Source organism: Homo sapiens, chromosome 17 (genome assembly GCF_000001405.40).
Source record: "Homo sapiens chromosome 17, GRCh38.p14 Primary Assembly".
NCBI classification, from domain to species: domain Eukaryota; kingdom Metazoa; phylum Chordata; class Mammalia; order Primates; family Hominidae; genus Homo; species Homo sapiens.
The window spans coordinates 59950735-59969123 of record NC_000017.11 but is presented as its reverse complement, the minus strand read 5'-3'; the positions used below and the strand labels follow the sequence as shown (position 1 = coordinate 59969123).

General features: G+C 39.9%; 1 protein-coding gene, 1 long non-coding RNA gene and 1 pseudogene across 4 annotated transcripts in view, besides 2 other annotated features; 2 read left to right on the top strand and 1 right to left on the bottom strand.

Annotated features, from left to right (window-relative positions):
- Positions 1–4028, bottom strand: part of RNFT1-DT (RNFT1 divergent transcript) — a 31877-nt gene extending 27849 nt beyond the window's left edge. For both annotated transcript variants that reach the window (NR_110815.1, NR_110816.1), the window contains exons 1-2: positions 3936–4028; positions 2657–2721 (exon numbers count right to left, since the gene is read on the bottom strand). This is a non-coding gene — a long non-coding RNA (RNFT1 divergent transcript). The remainder of the gene's footprint in view (positions 1–2656; positions 2722–3935) is intronic.
- Positions 1–6761, top strand: part of TBC1D3P1-DHX40P1 (TBC1D3P1-DHX40P1 readthrough, transcribed pseudogene) — a 56690-nt pseudogene extending 49929 nt beyond the window's left edge. The window contains exons 13-14 of the transcript NR_002924.3: positions 5840–6297; positions 6508–6761. The product of NR_002924.3 is annotated as a TBC1D3P1-DHX40P1 readthrough, transcribed pseudogene (transcript). The remainder of the gene's footprint in view (positions 1–5839; positions 6298–6507) is intronic.
- Positions 4014–4283: an enhancer, noted in NCBI's record as "active region_12521". NCBI's record gives its function as "activates an Ori minimal core promoter by ATAC-STARR-seq in GM12878 lymphoblastoid cells {active_cell/tissue: GM12878}" and the evidence as "EXISTENCE:reporter gene assay evidence [ECO:0000049][PMID:35858748]".
- Positions 4314–4443: a silencer, noted in NCBI's record as "silent region_8785". NCBI's record gives its function as "represses an Ori minimal core promoter by ATAC-STARR-seq in GM12878 lymphoblastoid cells {active_cell/tissue: GM12878}" and the evidence as "EXISTENCE:reporter gene assay evidence [ECO:0000049][PMID:35858748]".
- Positions 4384–16884, top strand: RNFT1 (ring finger protein, transmembrane 1). The gene is made up of 9 exons (NM_016125.4): positions 4384–4516; positions 5840–6297; positions 6508–6584; positions 8956–9056; positions 10680–10833; positions 11742–11900; positions 12571–12636; positions 14978–15079; positions 16013–16884. Exons 1-9 carry the CDS (start codon positions 4461–4463, stop codon positions 16145–16147), a joined length of 1308 nt encoding a protein of 435 aa, NP_057209.3. The 5' UTR covers positions 4384–4460; the 3' UTR covers positions 16148–16884.

Genomic DNA, 18389 nt, shown 5'->3' with positions numbered 1-18389 from the left:
TCCCAGCACTTTGGGAGGCCAAGGCGGGCAGATCACAAGGGCAGGAGTTCAAGACCAGCCTGGCCAACATGGTGAAACCCCGTCTCTACTAAAATACAAAAATTAGCCGGGCATGGTGGCAGGTGCCTATAGTCCCAGCTACTTGGGAGACTGAGGCAGGAGAATAGCTTGAACCCAGGAGGCAGAGGTTGCAGTGAGCTGAGATCATGCCACTGCGCTCCAGCCTGGGTGACAGAGCGAGACTCCATCTCAAACAAAAAGAAAGAAAAGAATCTGTATTTCCTATAATTCTATGTGTAGACTGGCTCACTCTAGGATGGCTTCACACATATGTTTGGGGCTTCAACAGAGAATGCTGAGACAACTGGGAAGGCTGGTAGAGCTAGGGACACTCTCAAAGTGGTCTCATCTTCTAGGAGGCCAGCCTTAATTTAATCAAATTGTGGCAAAGGGTTGCCAACAGTAAGAGTGTGAATCCCAATGGAGAAGAATTTTTCAAGTCTCTATTAACATTACAATTGCTATTGTCCCAAGGATCAAAGCAAATCACTTAAATCAGTCTGCGAGGAGACTACCCAAGCATATGGACATTGGTAGGTGTGAAAAATTTGTGTGGGTAGTAGAGGGGGTGACGAGCTTAACTGCAACAATCTAGGACACTTAACCCTACTGATTCTATTTCATAACCTCTCCAATCTCATTCTTCTTCTTGAATCCCACTTCACTGACAAGTTCAAGACCTCATCTTGTTCCTGAACTACTTATAATAGTCTCCTAATGGAGCTTGCACTGCTACTATCAGCATATGAATTTTCTGAAAAACACAAATCCAGTCACACAATTCTGTTGCTTAAAACTCAATAGCTTCCTTTTGGCCATTAGAATAAACTAAGTGAGGCCCACAAACTCATTTTCTAGCTCATACTTACCTGACTTATCTCTTACTACTCTATCCACTCTACTCTTCCAAATACGAAAAACACTCTTTAAAAGACCATGGTATTTCAATACCACCATTTTCCATATAATGTTTCTATCTGCATTGCCCTGTTACTGCTTCTGTCCTGGTAAATATCAACTTATTCTTAAGATTTCATCCAGGAGGCTGAGGCACTAGAATCACTTGAACCCAGGAGGCAGAGGTTGCAGTGAGCCAAGATTGCGCCACTGTACTCCACCCTGGGCAACAGAGCAAAACTCTATCAAAAGAAGAAAGAAAAAAAAAGATTTCATCTTAAATATCACAAATTTAATAAAAGATTTCTTCCCTGACAAAGTTAAATGCTTCTACCTTTTGCTTCCATTGCATCTCACAGAACCTTCAATTATAGTGTTTTCTCCAAAATACTGTAATTATTTGTTTGCAGGTCTAAACATTTCCATCACCATGAGATGGCAACTTTTCTTTTTCTTTTTTTTCTGAGATGGAGTCTTGCTCTGTTGCCCAGGATGGAGTGCAGTGGCATGATATTGGCTCACTGCAACCTCTGCCTCAGGTTGAAGCAATTCTCCTGCCTCAGCCTCCTGAGTAACTGCATTACAGGCGCGTGCCACCATACCTCGATAATTTTTGTATTTTTAGTAGAGACGGGGTTCCACCATGTTGGCCAGCCTGGTCTTGAACTCCTGACCTCAGGTGATCCGCCTGCCTCACCCTCCCAAAGTGCTGGGATTACAGGCGTGAGCCATTGTGCTTGGCCCTAATTTTTATGTTTTTAGCAGAAATGGAGTTTCACCATGTTGGCCAGGTTGGTCTTGAACTGCTGACCTCAAGTGATCTACCTGCTGTGGCCTCCCAAAGTGCTGAGATTACAGGTGTGAGCCATCATGCCTGGCCCGAGACTCTTTATTATGTCTCTCTCTCCAACATCTAGTATTATTCTTAACACTCAGTAAGTACTTGGAAAATGCTTTTTGAATTAACCAATTAAAATTAAAATGTCTATTTCCAACAGTCCAGATGCCAGTGGAAAGAAAATTTATCAGATAATAGCCTGTCACCAAGTCAAATCTTCTCATCAATTCAGTCCTTTCTTTCTTCAAATATGTCACTTTTCAGTCAAGTTACTTGGGTGAAATGCAGCTCCAAGTGCACTAATAAACTTTAAATATGGACTAATATACCTGCAGTGTTATGAGTATGTCAAAAGGAGAATTTTTTTTTTTTTTTTTTTGAGACAGGGTCTCACTCTGTTCCCAGACTGGAGCAATAACGGCTCATTGCAGCCTTAATCTCCCTGGCTCAAGGGATTCTCCCACCTCAGCCTCCTGAGTAGCTGGGACTACAGGCCCTTGCCACAGTGCCCAGCTAATTTTAACATTTTTTTCTAGAGACAGGGTCTCTCTATGTTGTCCAGTCTGCTCTCGATCTCTTGGGCTCAAGCGACCTTTTCACCTCAGCCTCCCAAAGTGCTAGGATTATAGGAATGAACCGTAGTATCTGGCCAAGATGAGAATTTAAACACTACATTTGGTATTCTAAATTTACAAATGTACCAAATGTACTAAAATTATCAGTGTACTAATACATATTGGTGCTGCATTGTGGCTGTGGCTGAATTATGTTATATTCTGTTTTTTTTCCTGTTTCCTAAATGTTCACACATTTTGAAGTTTAAAAATATCCACGACATAGTTGAAATGTTAGAATACTTACACATATCTCCTCGGAAAATTCACTATAGTCTGGAGCCTGGCTCTCACCCTTACTGAACCAGAAATCTGTCAGAAAGATTTAAATTAGTAAGCACAGAGAGACTTAAGTATGCCTTCTACCACCGCCGACCACCCCTACCCCCACCCCCAACAAAAAAAGAAAGCCAATGTGTTTTTTTTTGAGGTGGGGGTCTCCTTCTGCCGCCCAGGCTGGAGTGCAGTGGCACGATTTCAGCTCACTGCAACCTCCGCCACCTGGGTTCAAGGGATTCTCCTGCCTCAGCCTCCCGAGTAGCTGGGATTACAGGCGCCCGCCACCAAGCCCGGGTGATTTTTGTATTTTTAGTAGAGACAGGGTTTCGCCATGTTGGCCAGGCTGGTCTCAAACTCCTGACCTCAAGTGATCCTCCCGCCTCGGCCTTCCAAAGCGCTGGGATTACAGGGGTGAGCCACCACGCCAGGCCTAAACCTTTTTTTTTTTAGACGGAGTGTCGCTCTGTTGCCAGGCTGGAGTGCAGTGGCTAATCCCGGCTCACTGCAACCTCCGCCTCCCGGGTTCAAGCGATTCTCCTGCCTCAGCTTCCCGAGTAGCTGAGATTACAGGCACGCACCACCACACCCGGCTAATTTTTGTATTTTTAGTAGAGACGGGGTTTCACCATATTGGCCAGGATGTGGCCACGATCTCTTGACCTTGTGATCCACCCGCCTTGGCCTCCCAAAGTGCTGGGATTACAGGTGTGAGCTACCACTCCCCTCCTCAGCTTCGTTTTCTTAATGACCTTTTAATTTTAGAACAGTTTTAGATTAACAGAATTTATTTTATTTATTTATTTTTTGAGACCGAGTCTCACTCACTCTGTTGCCCAGGCTGGAGTGCAGTGGCACGATCTTGGCTCACTACAAACTCCACCTCCCGGGTTCAAGTGATTCTCGTATGCCTCAGCTTCCCGAGTATCTGTAGCGGGGATTACAAGTGTGAGCCAACGCCCCCGGCTAATTTTTGTAGTTTTAATAGAGACGGGTTTCACCATGTTGGCCAGGCTGGTCTCTACCTCCTGAGCTCAAGTGACCCGCCCGCCTCGGCCTCCCAAAATACTGGGATTACAGGTGTGAGCCACTGCGCCCGACCTAAACTTCGTTTTCTTAATAACCTTTTAATTTTAGAACAGTTTTAGATTAACATAATTATTTTGAGGGCAGTAGGGTCCTCTATACCCCACGCAAGACAGGTTTTTCAACTCTAACTTCTACTTCCACCCCACGCAGACTCTCCGCACCTCTCTCCTCTCATCTCGGGTTCTGACAAGGCCTGATCCTCACAGCCCAAATTCACGATTGTGAGGAAAGGTCAGCTCAGACCAAACGTCACCGCCCAGACAGACACAACTAGGTCAGGCGTCAAGCTCGCGGACATCCGAGCCCGGAAACCCTAACACTCCTCCAGGGGTAGGTTCTCCAAGCCTGAACATTTTTAACCTCAAAACGCCCAGGATCTCGGAGGCGTGTGGTGGATGCCACATAAATACATAACACATAACAACGACTTATTATTTAGCGCCAGGCCTGAAGGCCGTTCTCAGGCGCAGCTCGCTTGTTCTCGCTGCCAAAACACCCCGGCAGCCGTGAGCTCTCCACTCGGCGCGGTGCGGGGGCGGGGCTAGGAGGTGGAGCCGGGGCAGGGCGCGCGCGCGCGCGTGAGAACGTCCGGGGAGCGCGCGCGCCGCCGCCGTTGCCGCCGGGCTGAGAGAAGAGCTTGCGGGGTTTGCGGTTGATGGCCCCGACTGAAGGGCTGGAGGCGGTGTATGCCGCTGTTCTTGCTGTCGCTCCCGACACCTCCGTCCGCTTCTGGTCATGAGAGGTTAGGCCTGGGGGAAGCGGGCAGAGGAGGAGGCGGCGAGGGGCCGCGGCGCAGGGGGCTCTGGGGAGAATAGGCACTCGAGGCTCGGACGTGGGTGGAGAACTCTGCCCTCGGAGATTCCGGAAGAGTTGTGTTGAATTTTCTTCCCTTTTTTCTCCTCTTTCTTGTCTGTGCATGAAGGAAAGTGGGAGGGTTCTATGTTATTTATAGAAAAGACACTGAAAGCCTGCTGTCCAACGTCGCTCTTCAGTTTTGACGAAATAACACCCGTGGCGTCGGGGCCTCGGTGAAAGCCTTTAGTGAAAAGCACTGAAACCCAAACCGCCAGACACGGTGACTGCACCACTGTTCAGTCCTGGGAGTGAAATAGAATGACACAGAACATTCCCTGACGTTAACTCTAGCCTCCTCCTAGACAAACGGGAAAAGCACGGCAGTGTGGGATAGCCTCTGCGTTTTGTCAGCTGGGATTCCGACTCTGTTCTTCTGTTTCTAGGAGGTCCACACTGGATCATTTATTAGAGAGATCTTTCTCTGCTAGAGTCCTCTTTCCTCACACCCCTCCCTCCGTAATACACACACCACCGACGGTGGCATTTTATTGGGCGGACTGTGTAACTGCTTATTCAGACTAAAGAGTTACCTAGCAATTACGTGGTGACTCTCCAAAGTATCTATGCTTTAAATGTATTTAGGTAACATTCTTTTGCGCGGGGAGGTAATATTATTGGTGGCACCATTAATTATTGGAAACTTTATGAGCTTTGGGAAAGCTGCTTGAGCAGAAAATCTAATTTGTAGGTCACCTAAGTGCAGTGTTTATTATTAGTTACCTATGATGATAATAAGGCATTAAGATTTAATGTTGTTTTTTTTCCTAACATTTCCAACCATTAAAAAATACTGGCTCACTCTTCCTTATGAAACTTCTTTGATGTAGAATCTACATCAGAGATGAAACTGCACCATTTGGGAAAAGTAAATGTACCAGAGTACCCAGTGAGGACTGGTGCTCATTAACATCTGCTGGGTACCCATACTTCATGACTGTTTTGCGGATGCCTTCTGCCATTAGAGAACTGGAAGCATTTGCAGCTCAACTTTTTTTTTTTTGGTGCAAATGTTCCCTAAAAGATCATTTGTGTAGGGCAGCAGAGCCTTGGCATTAAGGGAGAAGGGAGGAGTCCAGTGATAAATAACCTGAAAATTCATCTGTTGTGATTATTTGCTACTCCTTTAGTGAATAAAGGATACCCAGTGAGGAATATACTGCTGGTATTTAACTGCCTGTTTACTTAGAATATCTTTTATTTGATTTTTTAGGAGACAGAGGCCTGAAGCAAAGACATCTGGGTCAGAGAAAAAGTATTTAAGGGCCATGCAAGCCAATCGTAGCCAACTGCACAGTCCTCCAGGAACTGGAAGCAGTGAGGATGCCTCAACCCCTCAGTGTGTCCACACAAGATTGACAGGAGAGGGTTCTTGCCCTCATTCTGGAGATGTTCATATCCAGATAAACTCCATACCTAAAGAATGTGCAGAAAATGCAAGCTCCAGAAATATAAGGTCAGGTGTCCATAGCTGTGCCCATGGATGTGTACACAGTCGCTTACGGGGTCACTCCCACAGTGAAGCAAGGCTGACTGATGATACTGCCGCAGAATCTGGAGATCATGGTAGTAGCTCCTTCTCAGAATTCCGCTATCTCTTCAAGTGGCTGCAAAAAAGTCTTCCATATATTTTGATTCTGAGCGTCAAACTTGTTATGCAGCATATAACAGGTAGGACATAATAAAACATTGACTTGTTTTCATTCCTAAATTCAGTTAATTTTCTTTCATTATTGGTAATCTACTTAATGCATCCAGTTACTTATTTTCTGTGAGCTTTTATTATTGTATATGTTTATTTTTAATTTGTGTCATTGTTAGCTTATATAATCCTCTTTGATTTTTTTTTCTTTCAATTAACTGGAACTTATTTTCTAACAGGAATTTCTCTTGGAATTGGGCTGCTAACAACTTTTATGTATGCAAACAAAAGCATTGTAAATCAGGTTTTTCTAAGAGTAAGTATAACAAGCAACTAAAAAATTATTAACTGTTTCTCTCCATAGATTTTAGAGAAATAATTTTGAGAGAAATAGGAAATAACTTGAAAGAAATAGGAAGTAATAGGATATATTGTAACATCCACGTTATGTTAAATTTGTTATCTAAATCCTGGAATAAATTATCTCTCCTAATGCTGAATTCCTTCACCTTACCTTCTTTGTAAGAAAAAAAAATTGGTTACTGTTAAAGTAGTAAAAAGGATTAAAAGAGTTAGAACACGGTATCTGATCTGATTTGGCAAGTCCCTTCATGTTGTATCAGTTACTTTGACCATAGTAAGTAAGACCATCATCATGAAAAACTTTTAGTGGCTGGGCATGGTGGCTCACACCTGTAATCCCAGCACTTTGGGAGGCCGAGGCGGGCAGATCATGAGGTCAGGAGATTGAGACCATCCTGGCTAACACGGTGAAACCCTGTCTCTACTAAAAATACAAAAAATTAGCTAGGTGTGGTGGCATGTGCCTGTATTCCCAGCTACTCGGGAGGCTGAGGCAGGAGAATCACTTGAACCTGGGAGGTGGAGGTTGCAGTGAGCTGAGATCGCACCACTGCACTCCAGCGTGGGCTACAGAACGAGACTCCATCTCAAAAAAAAAAAAAAAAAAAAAGACCTGGGCCAGGCACAGGGGCTCACGCCTGTCATCCCAACACTCTGGGAGGCCCAGGCAGGCAGATCACCTGAGGTCAGAAGTTTGAGACCAGCCTGGCCAATGTGGTGAAACCCCATGTCTACTAAAAACACAAAAATTAGCTGGGCGTGGTGGCGCTTGCCTGTAGTCCCAGCTACTTGGGAGGCTGAGGCAGGAGAATTGCTTGAACCCGGGAGGCAGAGGTTGCAGTGAGCCAAGATTGTGCCACTGCACTCCAGCCTGGCGACAGAGTGAGACTCCATCTCAAAAAAAAAAAGAGAGAAAATGAAACCCAAGGAATTTTTCCATAACATAAGTTACACGAGCCCGTCATATAAATCATTGGGAAAAAGAGGATGAGTTTCTAAAATTTCACCTTAAGGCAACTTTAAATGGCTATGTCTGTGTAAAGTATCATGCATTCTGACCTGGAAATTTATAGTTAAACCTATCAAACTAGAAAAATCTTAATGATTTAAAATTAGTAAAACTTCATTAAACTTGACTTTAAAAGTGAGATTACAGGCAAGGCACAGTGGCTCATGCCTGTAATCTCAGCACTTTGGGAGGCTGAGATGGGCAGATTGCTTGAGCCCAGGAATTGAAGACGAGCCTGGGCAACATGGCAAAACCCCATCTCTACAAAAAATACAAAAAATTAGCTGGGCGTGGTGGCACGTGCCTGTAATCTCTGCTATCTGGGAGGCTGAGGTGGGAGGATTGCCTGACCCCAGGTGGTTGGGGCTGCAGTGAGTTGTGATCATGCCACTGCACTCCAGTCTGGGTGAAAGAGTGAGACCCAGTCTCAAAAAAGTAAAAAAAAAAAAAGGGAGATTACAACTACTTGGGAGGCTGAGTTGGGAAGAATGCTTGAGCCTAGGAATTCTGAGCAATGTGTCGAGACCCCATATATTAAAAAAGTGAGATTAAAACATTAATTTATTAAATTCTTATAATCTGAGAATTTAAAAAATATAAACCTTGACAAGTGAGTCAAGGTTAAAATGCATTTTGAAATTTTCTTTTGTGGGTGGGTCCATTTTTTTTCTGAGACGGTGTTTTGCTCTGTCACCCGGGCTGGAGTGCAGTGGCGTGATCTTGGCTCACTGCAACCTCTGCCTCCTGGGTTCAAGTGATTCTCGTGCCTCAGCCTCCTGAGTAGCTGGGATTACAGGCACGTGCCACGGCGCCTGGCTAACTTTTGTACTTTTTTTAGTAGAGACAGGTTTCACCATGTTGGGCAGGCTGGTCACAAACTCCTGACCTCAAGCGATCCGCCGACCTTGGCCTCCCAAAGTGCTGGGATTACAAGTGTGAGCCACTGCCCCCGTCCTGGGTGGGTCCTTTATGTCAGCTTGTAGAAGACCTGGCTTCTTTTTTTTTTTTTTAATTTAATTTAATTTTCTTTTTTTTTTTTTTTTTTTGAGAGAAGACTTGGCTTCTTTGAAACATAGGTAATGTTTTTCATACAGTGAAGAAACTTGTATTTTAAACATTTGTTTAATATAAGAGTTCTGTTTGGTCACTAAAGTAGTATAAAACAGTAACTGTGATGATTATGTACAGTTTAACATATTCTATATTAAGATTTAGAAAAATATTCTAAGTTAATAGTCATTAAAGTAAAACAGTTTAATGATATTTAAAATTCTGGCAAAATCAAAGTAACATTATAAAATTGTTTATCTTTCAGGAAAGGTCCTCAAAGATTCAGTGTGCTTGGTTACTGGTATTCTTAGCAGGATCTTCTGTTCTTTTATATTACACCTTTCATTCTCAGTCACTTTATTACAGGTAATTAGAGGTCCAAATACACAATTACATTTTTAATGTAATCATATATTTCATAGCACTTTGTATCTTACTTCACATAGTACTTATTGTATTCAGTTCAGTTCAGTTTTTAACTTTCTCCTTTCATAAGCGAGAGCTTTTTTTTTTTTTTTCTTTTTGAGACGGAGTCTCACTCTCTCGCCCAGCCTGGAGTGCAGTGTCTTGATCTTGGCTCACTGCAACCTTTGCCTCTCAGGTTCAAGCAATTCTCCCGTCTAAGCCTCCTGAGTAGCTGGGATTACAGGCACACGCCACCACGCCTGGCAAATTTTTGTATTTTTAATAGAGACGGAGTTTCACCATGTTGGTCAGACCTCCTGACCTCGTGATCTGCCTGCCTCCACCTCCTAAAGTGCTGGGATTACAGGTGTGAGCCACTGCACCCAGCCTCATAAGTGAGAGCTTTAAGTGACTTACTCAGATTTTGTATCCCCAGTGCCTTGGCACATAACAGATGCTCAATAAATATTTAATTTTTTGATACCTGAGTTTTTGTTTACATATTTCGTATTTTTAAAGTACCATTAGGTTGTTATTATTGGTCGTTGTTTCTGAAAGTAAGAACACTTACTAAATGACAGTAGCTGATAAGTCTCCATGTCAAATGGGAGTATTCTGAATTTTCAGCTTTTATTAGAATATTAGAAGACCTGGTTTCACTGGAGTTGGAGAGATGGGCAAATCTGGGATATAGTTTGGAGGTGGAGCCAGTATCCCTCAGATGGACTGGATTGGATAGGTGGGTGGAGAGAAGCAAGAATGACCTCTGGGTTTTTAGTCTAAGCAGCTGGCTGGATGGTGGTGTCATTTCATTGGGTTGAGGAAGGAACTGATTTTGAGGAGAAAAATCAATAATTTTGTTTTGAACATGTTAAGTTTGAGAGGCTAAGTAGAATTGATAAGAAAGTGGTTCCAAATATATGTCATGAACTCAGGGTAGAGGTTAAGGCAATAAATTTTGGTATCAGGAGCATATGGTTGATATTTAAAAACCACAGGACTGGACAAAACTAACCCAGGAAAGAGAGTGTAGATAGAGAGCCCAGTACTGGACATGACCACAATTAGAAGAGAAACAGCAAAGGAGACTAAGAAGAAACCAGCAGTGAAATATGAGAAATAGAAAAGTGTTGTGTTAAAAGTCTAGAAAGAAAATTATTCAGGGAGGGAAGATGGAAAAAGAGAGTGACCTTGAAATTTAGCCATACAGAGGGAGTTGATGATCTTGACAAGCAATTCATTGAAAGGAAGAGATGGAATCCTGATTGGAATTGGTTAAGAAAAACACAGCAGATGTCTGGTATTGATGAGTTTTTTTCATTTACAGGCTAGAAAGGTGTCAACTATGACAAACCGTGAAGACTTTTTCCTTATTCTATGAAGGGAAGATCTAAAATCCAAACAGGTTTAAAAAGTCTCTTTAAGCAAAATGATCCTCCATTCCATTATTGTGAACTCTGACATCCTGCCAAACTCATATTTTTTACATATCAAAATAAAATATTTGTAGCAAATTAAAACCCTTTATTAATACTTTATCTTTGTATGTTGCTCTGATAAATTTTGATGTTTTTCTTTTGGTAGCTTAATTTTTTTAAATCCTACTTTGGACCATTTGAGCTTCTGGGAAGTATTTTGGATTGTTGGAATTACAGACTTCATTCTGAAATTCTTTTTCATGGGCTTAAAATGCCTTATTTTATTGGTGCCTTCTTTCATCATGCCTTTTAAATCTAAGGTAAGAAACTCACTTATGCTTTATTGGAGTGATGTTATCGAATCACATTAATGCTATTTAGTCTTTGTTTAAATGAATCCTCCTTTTGCAGTTTTTCAGTTTGCTAACTAGCTTAATTATCTGTATTATTTCAGCTTAGCAACCATTTGTTCAGGCACTTGAACCTGATTATTAACCTATTTGGATAAAATCAGAATTATATTTGCTTCAGAATAATTTTAAAATCAGTCCCCACATCATATGTGGGAAACTATTTAGATGTGTACTTCTGTTCTCCAGGGCATTATCAATTGACAGTTGACTATGTACAATTATTCAGTGGTTTCCCATATGCACTAAAAACTTTTAAATTCTTATAATCAGCAAAAACATACTCACATAGGTTTTACTTGCAGTATACATAAAACATTCTCATTGTATCTTTTTTTTTGGTTTTGTTTTGTTTTGAGATTGTCTCTCGCTCTGTTGCCCAGGCTGGAGTGCAGTGGTGTGATCTTGGCTCACTGCAACCTCCGCCTCCTGGGTTCAGGCAGTTCTCCTGCCTCAGCCTCCTGAGTAGCTGGGATTACAGGTGCCCACCACCACACCCAGTTAATTTTTGTATTTTTAGTAGAGACGGGGTTTCACCATGTTGGCCAGCTGGTCTCGAACTCCTGACCTCAGGTGATCTGCCCATCCCAAAGTGCTGGGAGCCACTGCGTCCAACCTAGAAATTCTTTCAAAGCAGGCCACTCAGTGACTGTAATATGTGAGAACCAGCTTGAGGTTCAGTCATAATCATTATGAAGATTAATTTTATAGTTATTTATATTATTGTATAATATACTCAGTGTTCTCAGTCTAATATTGTTTGTGCTATGTAGTTAAGTAGTTTGGGTAGCTCTATTTGTTTTCTTCTTATTTTTTAGGGTTACTGGTATATGCTTTTAGAAGAATTGTGTCAATACTACCGAACTTTTGTTCCCATACCAGTTTGGTTTCGCTACCTTATAAGCTATGGGGAGTTTGGTAACGTAACTAGATGGAGTCTTGGGATACTGCTGGCTTTACTCTACCTCATATTAAAAGTAGGTAACATTACAAATCTTGTCACTGCATGATTCACATTAATGATTACTGATACATACTACTGTTTTCCTCTTTTAACAGTTTTATAGTTTATCTTCATATCACTAGTTTGAAGTAATAGCAGGTTCTATATTTGTTTAGAAATGGAGAAACGGAAATAGACTATCTTAATCCAGCGGTCCTCAGGTTTCACTGGAGGGAAGGGGAGTCGACCTTCACATAGCGTGGATTATCTAAGTAGGGAAAACAAGTGGAATAGAACATACCCATCCTCAACAGTAACATTGTCATACACATAATTCTTAAACTAGTAGAGTATCTTGTCCTGTTCTCTCCATGCCTGCACCCCTCAACCTAATAATCACTTTATGAAACTTTAAAATCTAAATGTTAAAAACAGGTGAATCAGATAAAATTGCTTTGACTTTGACATAGTTGTATTTGTCTTGATCAAATTGTTACTCTAGGTGTTTAAATGTACTTCAGCTTGCTGAGATGGCTCAAATCTATAAATTGAATAAAATACTCAGCACAAAATGATTAGATGTGACATATAATGAACATTAAGTTAATATGAGGATTTGATGTTATGGGATTTCAGCTTTGGTTTTTGGGTTTAGCAAATAGGACTGTTTGAATTAATAAATGATCTCTTATTTCTCTTTTCAGCTTTTGGAATTTTTTGGGCATCTGAGAACTTTCAGACAGGTTTTACGAATATTTTTTACACAACCAGTAAGTACTTTTTATCAGTTAAGAAAAACACCTTCACCTTTCTTCACTGCAAAAATTTTTTTAGTTCAGCAGTTTTACAAGAATGGATTTCATAAATAGATGATCCTTTTCTTTTACTTTGATTATTTTCTAGTACTTTGGCACTTGGGGCTATAATAATTTAGGAGTTTTATCTCTGTGATCAGATTCTTGAATCACACATTGACAACCACCTGCTAATTGTTGCAGTGCTTATATATTTGAACTTGTCTCTTGCCTCTTCAATCCACTGGACATTTTTAAGGCTTGTAAACCCTTAACAATCTTATGAAATTGTGTTCCTCTTTTTTAATCCACAAATGGGGGCTTTGTTTGTTCCTATTAACTCCTTATTCACCTGTGAAAATCCTTCCATTGTAATTTATTGTTTAGAAAGCTCACTGCCAAAAATCATGTCTCTTGCAGTTTTCTTACTGGAGCAGATTTCCCCATTGCTCAATTATATGTGCATAAATACGTTCATGGCATGAAATTTAACAATTAATTGAGTCTCTGGTGTCATTTATAACATTATTGTGTGATTCTATTGATGTTGCAAATTGCAGTGAAAGGATGTCATAGAGAACCCTAATTTACCACTTAGTAGCCTGAAAGGTTCCTAGTACCTATGTGTGGTCAGCAGACTTCAGGGTTTGATTCTCAATTTTGCAGTCATTTCATCAGGGCCCAAGGAGACTGACTTAAAAGAATGCCAACCGAATAATATACCGTAAAAATAAAAAAAGAATTATGTCTACAAAGTAAACGAGACTAACTGGCCAGGGCCTTTTCCCTAAGATAGAGTTAGCAATGTAGAAACAAACTTTGCTACATCCTATGCAAGCTTGTTTCTCTAGACAAGACATAATAAAATTCAGAGAGTTCAGCTTTGTCCAAGTCAGTTCAACTGATGATTATGTGAGCATCAACCATTTTACTATAATTGGTCTTGTAAGATTTGTGCCGAAATACTCTCAAGAAAATACCCTGATATTCTTTCTCTGAGACAAACTACAGAGAGGATATCAGTCATCAATACTTGGATTTGTTCAAGTCTCCTTTACCAGGGAAATGGCAGTTACTATCTGGAGAGGGAGTCTCCAAGATGCCAGATGAGTAACGTCTTAAAAGCTTGTCAGCATAATTATCTGCAAATGTACTTTGCTAAATGACACCTTACTGAAGGGAAATTGACACCAAGATCATCTAACAGTATCCTGACTTATTTCTGAAATCTTTATTACCAGTTTCAAAAAACCTCAATTTTTAATATCTTTATCCTTTGAGTTTTACTTTGATTTTGATGTTGTTAGCCTGAGACGTTTTAGTACAAGAAGTTTAGATAACTTCAGCTATGTTAAGTCATGCTTTACCCTCATGACCGTGACTGACTTGGGTGTTCTTACATCTCTTTAGTTACCTCTTCCCCATCATTTCTACAGAAAGCAGGTTTCATTTGTAACATTTTGATTTCTCCAAATTTCACTGAGGGTTATTGACATCACATCTAGTTAATGACTAAGTTCTGAATCTGGTGAGGAGGTTAAAATCTTAGAGACGAGTAACTTGTTATTAGGACATTAGAAGAGAAGAAAATTCAAATAATTGCATTTTTGTTCAGTTAGTTTTGACAGTAGTTATTCTACCAAAGCGACATTTACAGTTGCAGTTTCTCCGTAAAACTTTTTTATGTTTAGCACTAAATGCTTTTTATAATTTCGAATAATTTTTAGACCTAGTGGCAGAAAATTCTTCAGTGGTCCCTAAGTCTTCTTCATATTGCACTCACTTGGAGACCTTTCAAATAATAGATTACTGGGTCACATCCCAATATGTCTGGTCCTAGTGAATTGATATTGTGTGGAACAGAGAAATCTATTTTTAAAGCAAGCTTTCCACATGAGTTACATTCAACCAGCCAACCTCTGGCTGGATTGACTTTATGAACCACTGCTGCAGGTAATAAGCTCAATTTGGCAGTCCTGGGTCAAATAATACATGGCTATAGATTTTATAATAGTTACATTTCAGATTGCTTAGTCTCTTAAGCCAGTTATGTTGAATTTGAAGCACTATCATCCTTTGTAAAGCTAGTAGATCTAACAATCTTTCAAAATCCTATTATGTATTATTTAATGATTTCATTTTGGTGCACTCAAGAGGTGGTTCTGTATATGGCTCAGCTTTGAGATGTTTGTATCCTTTGGGAAGTTTTTCAAATGCCTGGTTCCAGGGAGATTTGAGAAGTACAGCATTACTTATGTAATTTGAGGAACAGGAAAGAAAGAAATTTGTAGATGAACAGAACTTACTATCTTCATAGAGTTATGGAGTGGCTGCCAGCAAGAGACAGTGTTCAGATGTGGATGATATTTGTTCAATATGTCAAGCTGAATTTCAGAAGCCAATTCTTCTCATTTGTCAGGTAATTACATTTTTAAATTTAAAAACCTAAATACAACAGTTCTCTGTGACTTGCAAAAGTCAAATTTATGTTTGCTGTAAGGCAAAAAAAAAAAAATCTAGTGTTTAGTGGAAGGTAGCATTCAGGGTACATACTAGTGGATTGGCTAAGTTTTGTCCCTTATGTTCTGATAATTTTTATGCAGAGGAGCGTATGAAGGGGAAAAAATAATTCAACTGGCAGATTGAATACCAAAGTGATTAAAAAACAGGCTATTTTATAATTGGATACTAGCCATGTAGAACAATACTGACATTTGTTACTGGATTGTGGCCCTTTCCTATACTTTATGGCAGTTACTAGTAACTCAAAGACCTTAAGCAGTTATCATACTTAATCTTAAAGGTGTCACCTAAGGATAGCTTTTATGGTTAAATGGATGGTACAGCCAGAACACTAGTGGCTCTACCAATCATACTGCTCTTTGTCTTCTTGAATGTCTCATACGTTCTCCATTTTCACAATTGTAAAATGAGGGGATTAGTGCTCTTCAAAATCCCTTTCAGGCTGGACACAGTGGCTCACGCCTGTAATCCCAGAACTTTGGGAGGCTGAGGTGGGTGGATCACCTGAGGTCAGGAGTTCAAGACCAGCCTGACCAACATGGTGAAACCCTGTCTCTACTAAAAATAAAAAAACTAGCTGGGCATGGTGGTGGTGGTCACCTGTAATCCCGGCAACTTGGGAGGCTGAGGCAGGAGAATCACTTGAACCAGTCGGGGGCGGAGGTTGCAGTGAGCCGAGATGGTGCCATTGCACTCCGGCCTGGGTGACAGAGCAAGACTTCAGTCTCCATCTCAAAAAAAAAAAAAAAAGAATCCCTTTCATTCCCTACAATGTGATGGATTTAAAATGATTATCAAATATCAAATCTAATTCTTAATTCCATTACAGCATATATTTTGTGAAGAGTGCATGACCTTATGGTTTAACAGAGAGAAAACATGTCCACTCTGCAGAACTGTGATTTCAGACCATATAAACAAATGGAAGGATGGAGCCACTTCATCACACCTTCAAATATATTAAGTTGTATAAACTATCAAGGCCACAAAATACTAATGTCATTTGGTCATAATGACTACTGATAAGGCATCAGAATGGATTTTCAGGGCTACCAGAAAAATGTTTCCAGATGGTTTTAGAATGTAGGACTTATGATCCAATTCACCAAAAGATTAAATGAAACCACCCTGTGTTTTAAAATATATATAATGTTCAACCTAATGTATATGCAACATTTATTCTATTCTAATTATTTGACAGGTAACTGCAGTGTTAAATTGTAAATGTGTTTTCTTTATGTTACCAAAACAGCAATTTGAAATTAGAACTAGTGGTTTTAGAGAACTCAGGTATTCTTTCCTGACATTGTTTTCAGAATAAAGAATATTTTTCATAATATTTTAAGATACATACTATCTAAAAGTAGAATTTTGTTCAGCATTGACTTTTATAATTCCCATCCTAAAAATTCTTAATATTTTCATAAAATTTGTATTTTTAAATGAAAATTCTAAATGTTGTATTTTATCAGTAACATTTTCTAAGTGAAGATTAATTTACTGAGGATGATACATTATAGTATTGTATTATTCTCTGTAGTAAGATTAGTAATAAGTGAAAATAAATGATTTAAATTCATTTTGTCTCTGGACGTCATAAATTCTTCCTGCCATCAGCTTTAATGTTCATGATCATGCTTTTTGTATAGTACCATGGAGTATCTCGAAGTAACTATTAAAATAATTCATGTGGATTATAAACAGCTGGCTTACTTGATGATTTGAATAGTATAGAAAACAAGACAAATGGCCAGGCATGGTGGCTCACACCTGTAATCCCAGCACTTTGGGAGGCAGAGGCAGGAGGACTGCTTGAACCCAGGAGTTCAAGACCAGCCTGGGCAACATCCCATCTCTATTTAAAAGAAAAAAGTTTCAAGACAGATGCCCTAAAATCTTATAAAAAATTGCCCTTATAATTAGTCTTCTCCATAAAAGTTTTGGAATTTTATGCTTGAATCACCATCAATTGGAAGATTGAAGCTCGCACTGAGAGGTGGTCATGAGGTTTTGATAGTGTGGTTTGTTCGCCTCTAGGTATTTGTGCAGGGTGCTAGAAAAGAGAATGAAGCACTTTCTCCCCTTGTTACCTCTAAGGAGGAATCTGAAATCTAAAACATGTCTGAAGGGCTGCTAGTGCTTATATCCAAGTTTAGAGTACATCTATCAGTTTGTAGTCGAGGAAAAGGTGGTAGAAAGAACTTAGGAAGCAGAGGTAGAAAACAGATTTGCTGTACTGATAAGACAAAAGCTAAACTAGCAAATGAATTGTTTAGTTTAGCAAACTGACCAACTGGTTATAGAAGGCACTTCCATGACTGTACAGCCATCCAAATTGACAAACAAACATTAGGAAGCCTGTACCATTTTTTTCTCTCCAGGTAAATACTACCAGGTTGTAAGTACAACTATATTCAATTACAGTATATTTTACTCTGTTATCTACTTTGAGACCCACTACAAATATTATTTAAATGGCTTTGTGGTGATGCTAATAGTTGTATTATTTAGGTATACGGCAGAGGATGGGTGAGAAAAGCAATGTGGGATTACAATTCGGCTGTGAAGGATAGCCAAGATGACTTCCTGTTCAAATACAAGAATAGCATTTTACTTCAGCCCTATTAGAATACCTATTTAATACATTTGCTTACTCTGTAACTATTCAGACAGCACTGTTTCTTAATGAATGTGATTACATAACCAAGGAGGTGCATGGTGGGGTTTTTTTTTGGAATGCAGTTTACCTATAAATTGAAAAGGGAGAAAATCTAATGGAGCTATGCCATCCAATAAAAATGCTGATGAACTGGAAGCATTTCTTCCATCCCTCTATTCCTTCACCTCAAAAACAGGTAATGTAGATTCAGAAACTCATTTACTCTGTGAATTCAGATCATGGCTTCTAAAAGATTGTTTTACCAGTATTGATAGGCTACTATGTTGTATAGCAAGGTAAGATCAGTTTGAGAGCTTCTGTAGAGAAATCCCCTTGGCAAGTGTGGTATAATTACCTCACAGAAAAGAAGTGGTTAATGCAAAATACCCAGCTTACACTAGATATATTGAGACATTAGTTAAAACACATTTGTTCACTACGTTATTTTGTGCATACATATCAAATTATCAAATGTAGCTGACCAAGTGTAGCTGAACAGATTGTTGATTGTTAGCACAAGAAGGTCTTCCTAGAGTTTTTTATGAAG

Bases quoted from the DNA above. Each gene is read 5' to 3' on its own strand.
- RNFT1 (NM_016125.4), top strand. From the start codon at position 4,461: ATGCCGCTGTTCTTGCTGTCGCTCCCGACACCTCCGTCCGCTTCTGGT. The intron at 9,057-10,679 runs GTAATTAGAGGT...TTCTTTTGGTAG, and splicing joins TCTCAGTCACTTTATTACAG to CTTAATTTTTTTAAATCCTA. The intron at 11,901-12,570 runs GTAGGTAACATT...TTCTCTTTTCAG, and splicing joins TACTCTACCTCATATTAAAA to CTTTTGGAATTTTTTGGGCA.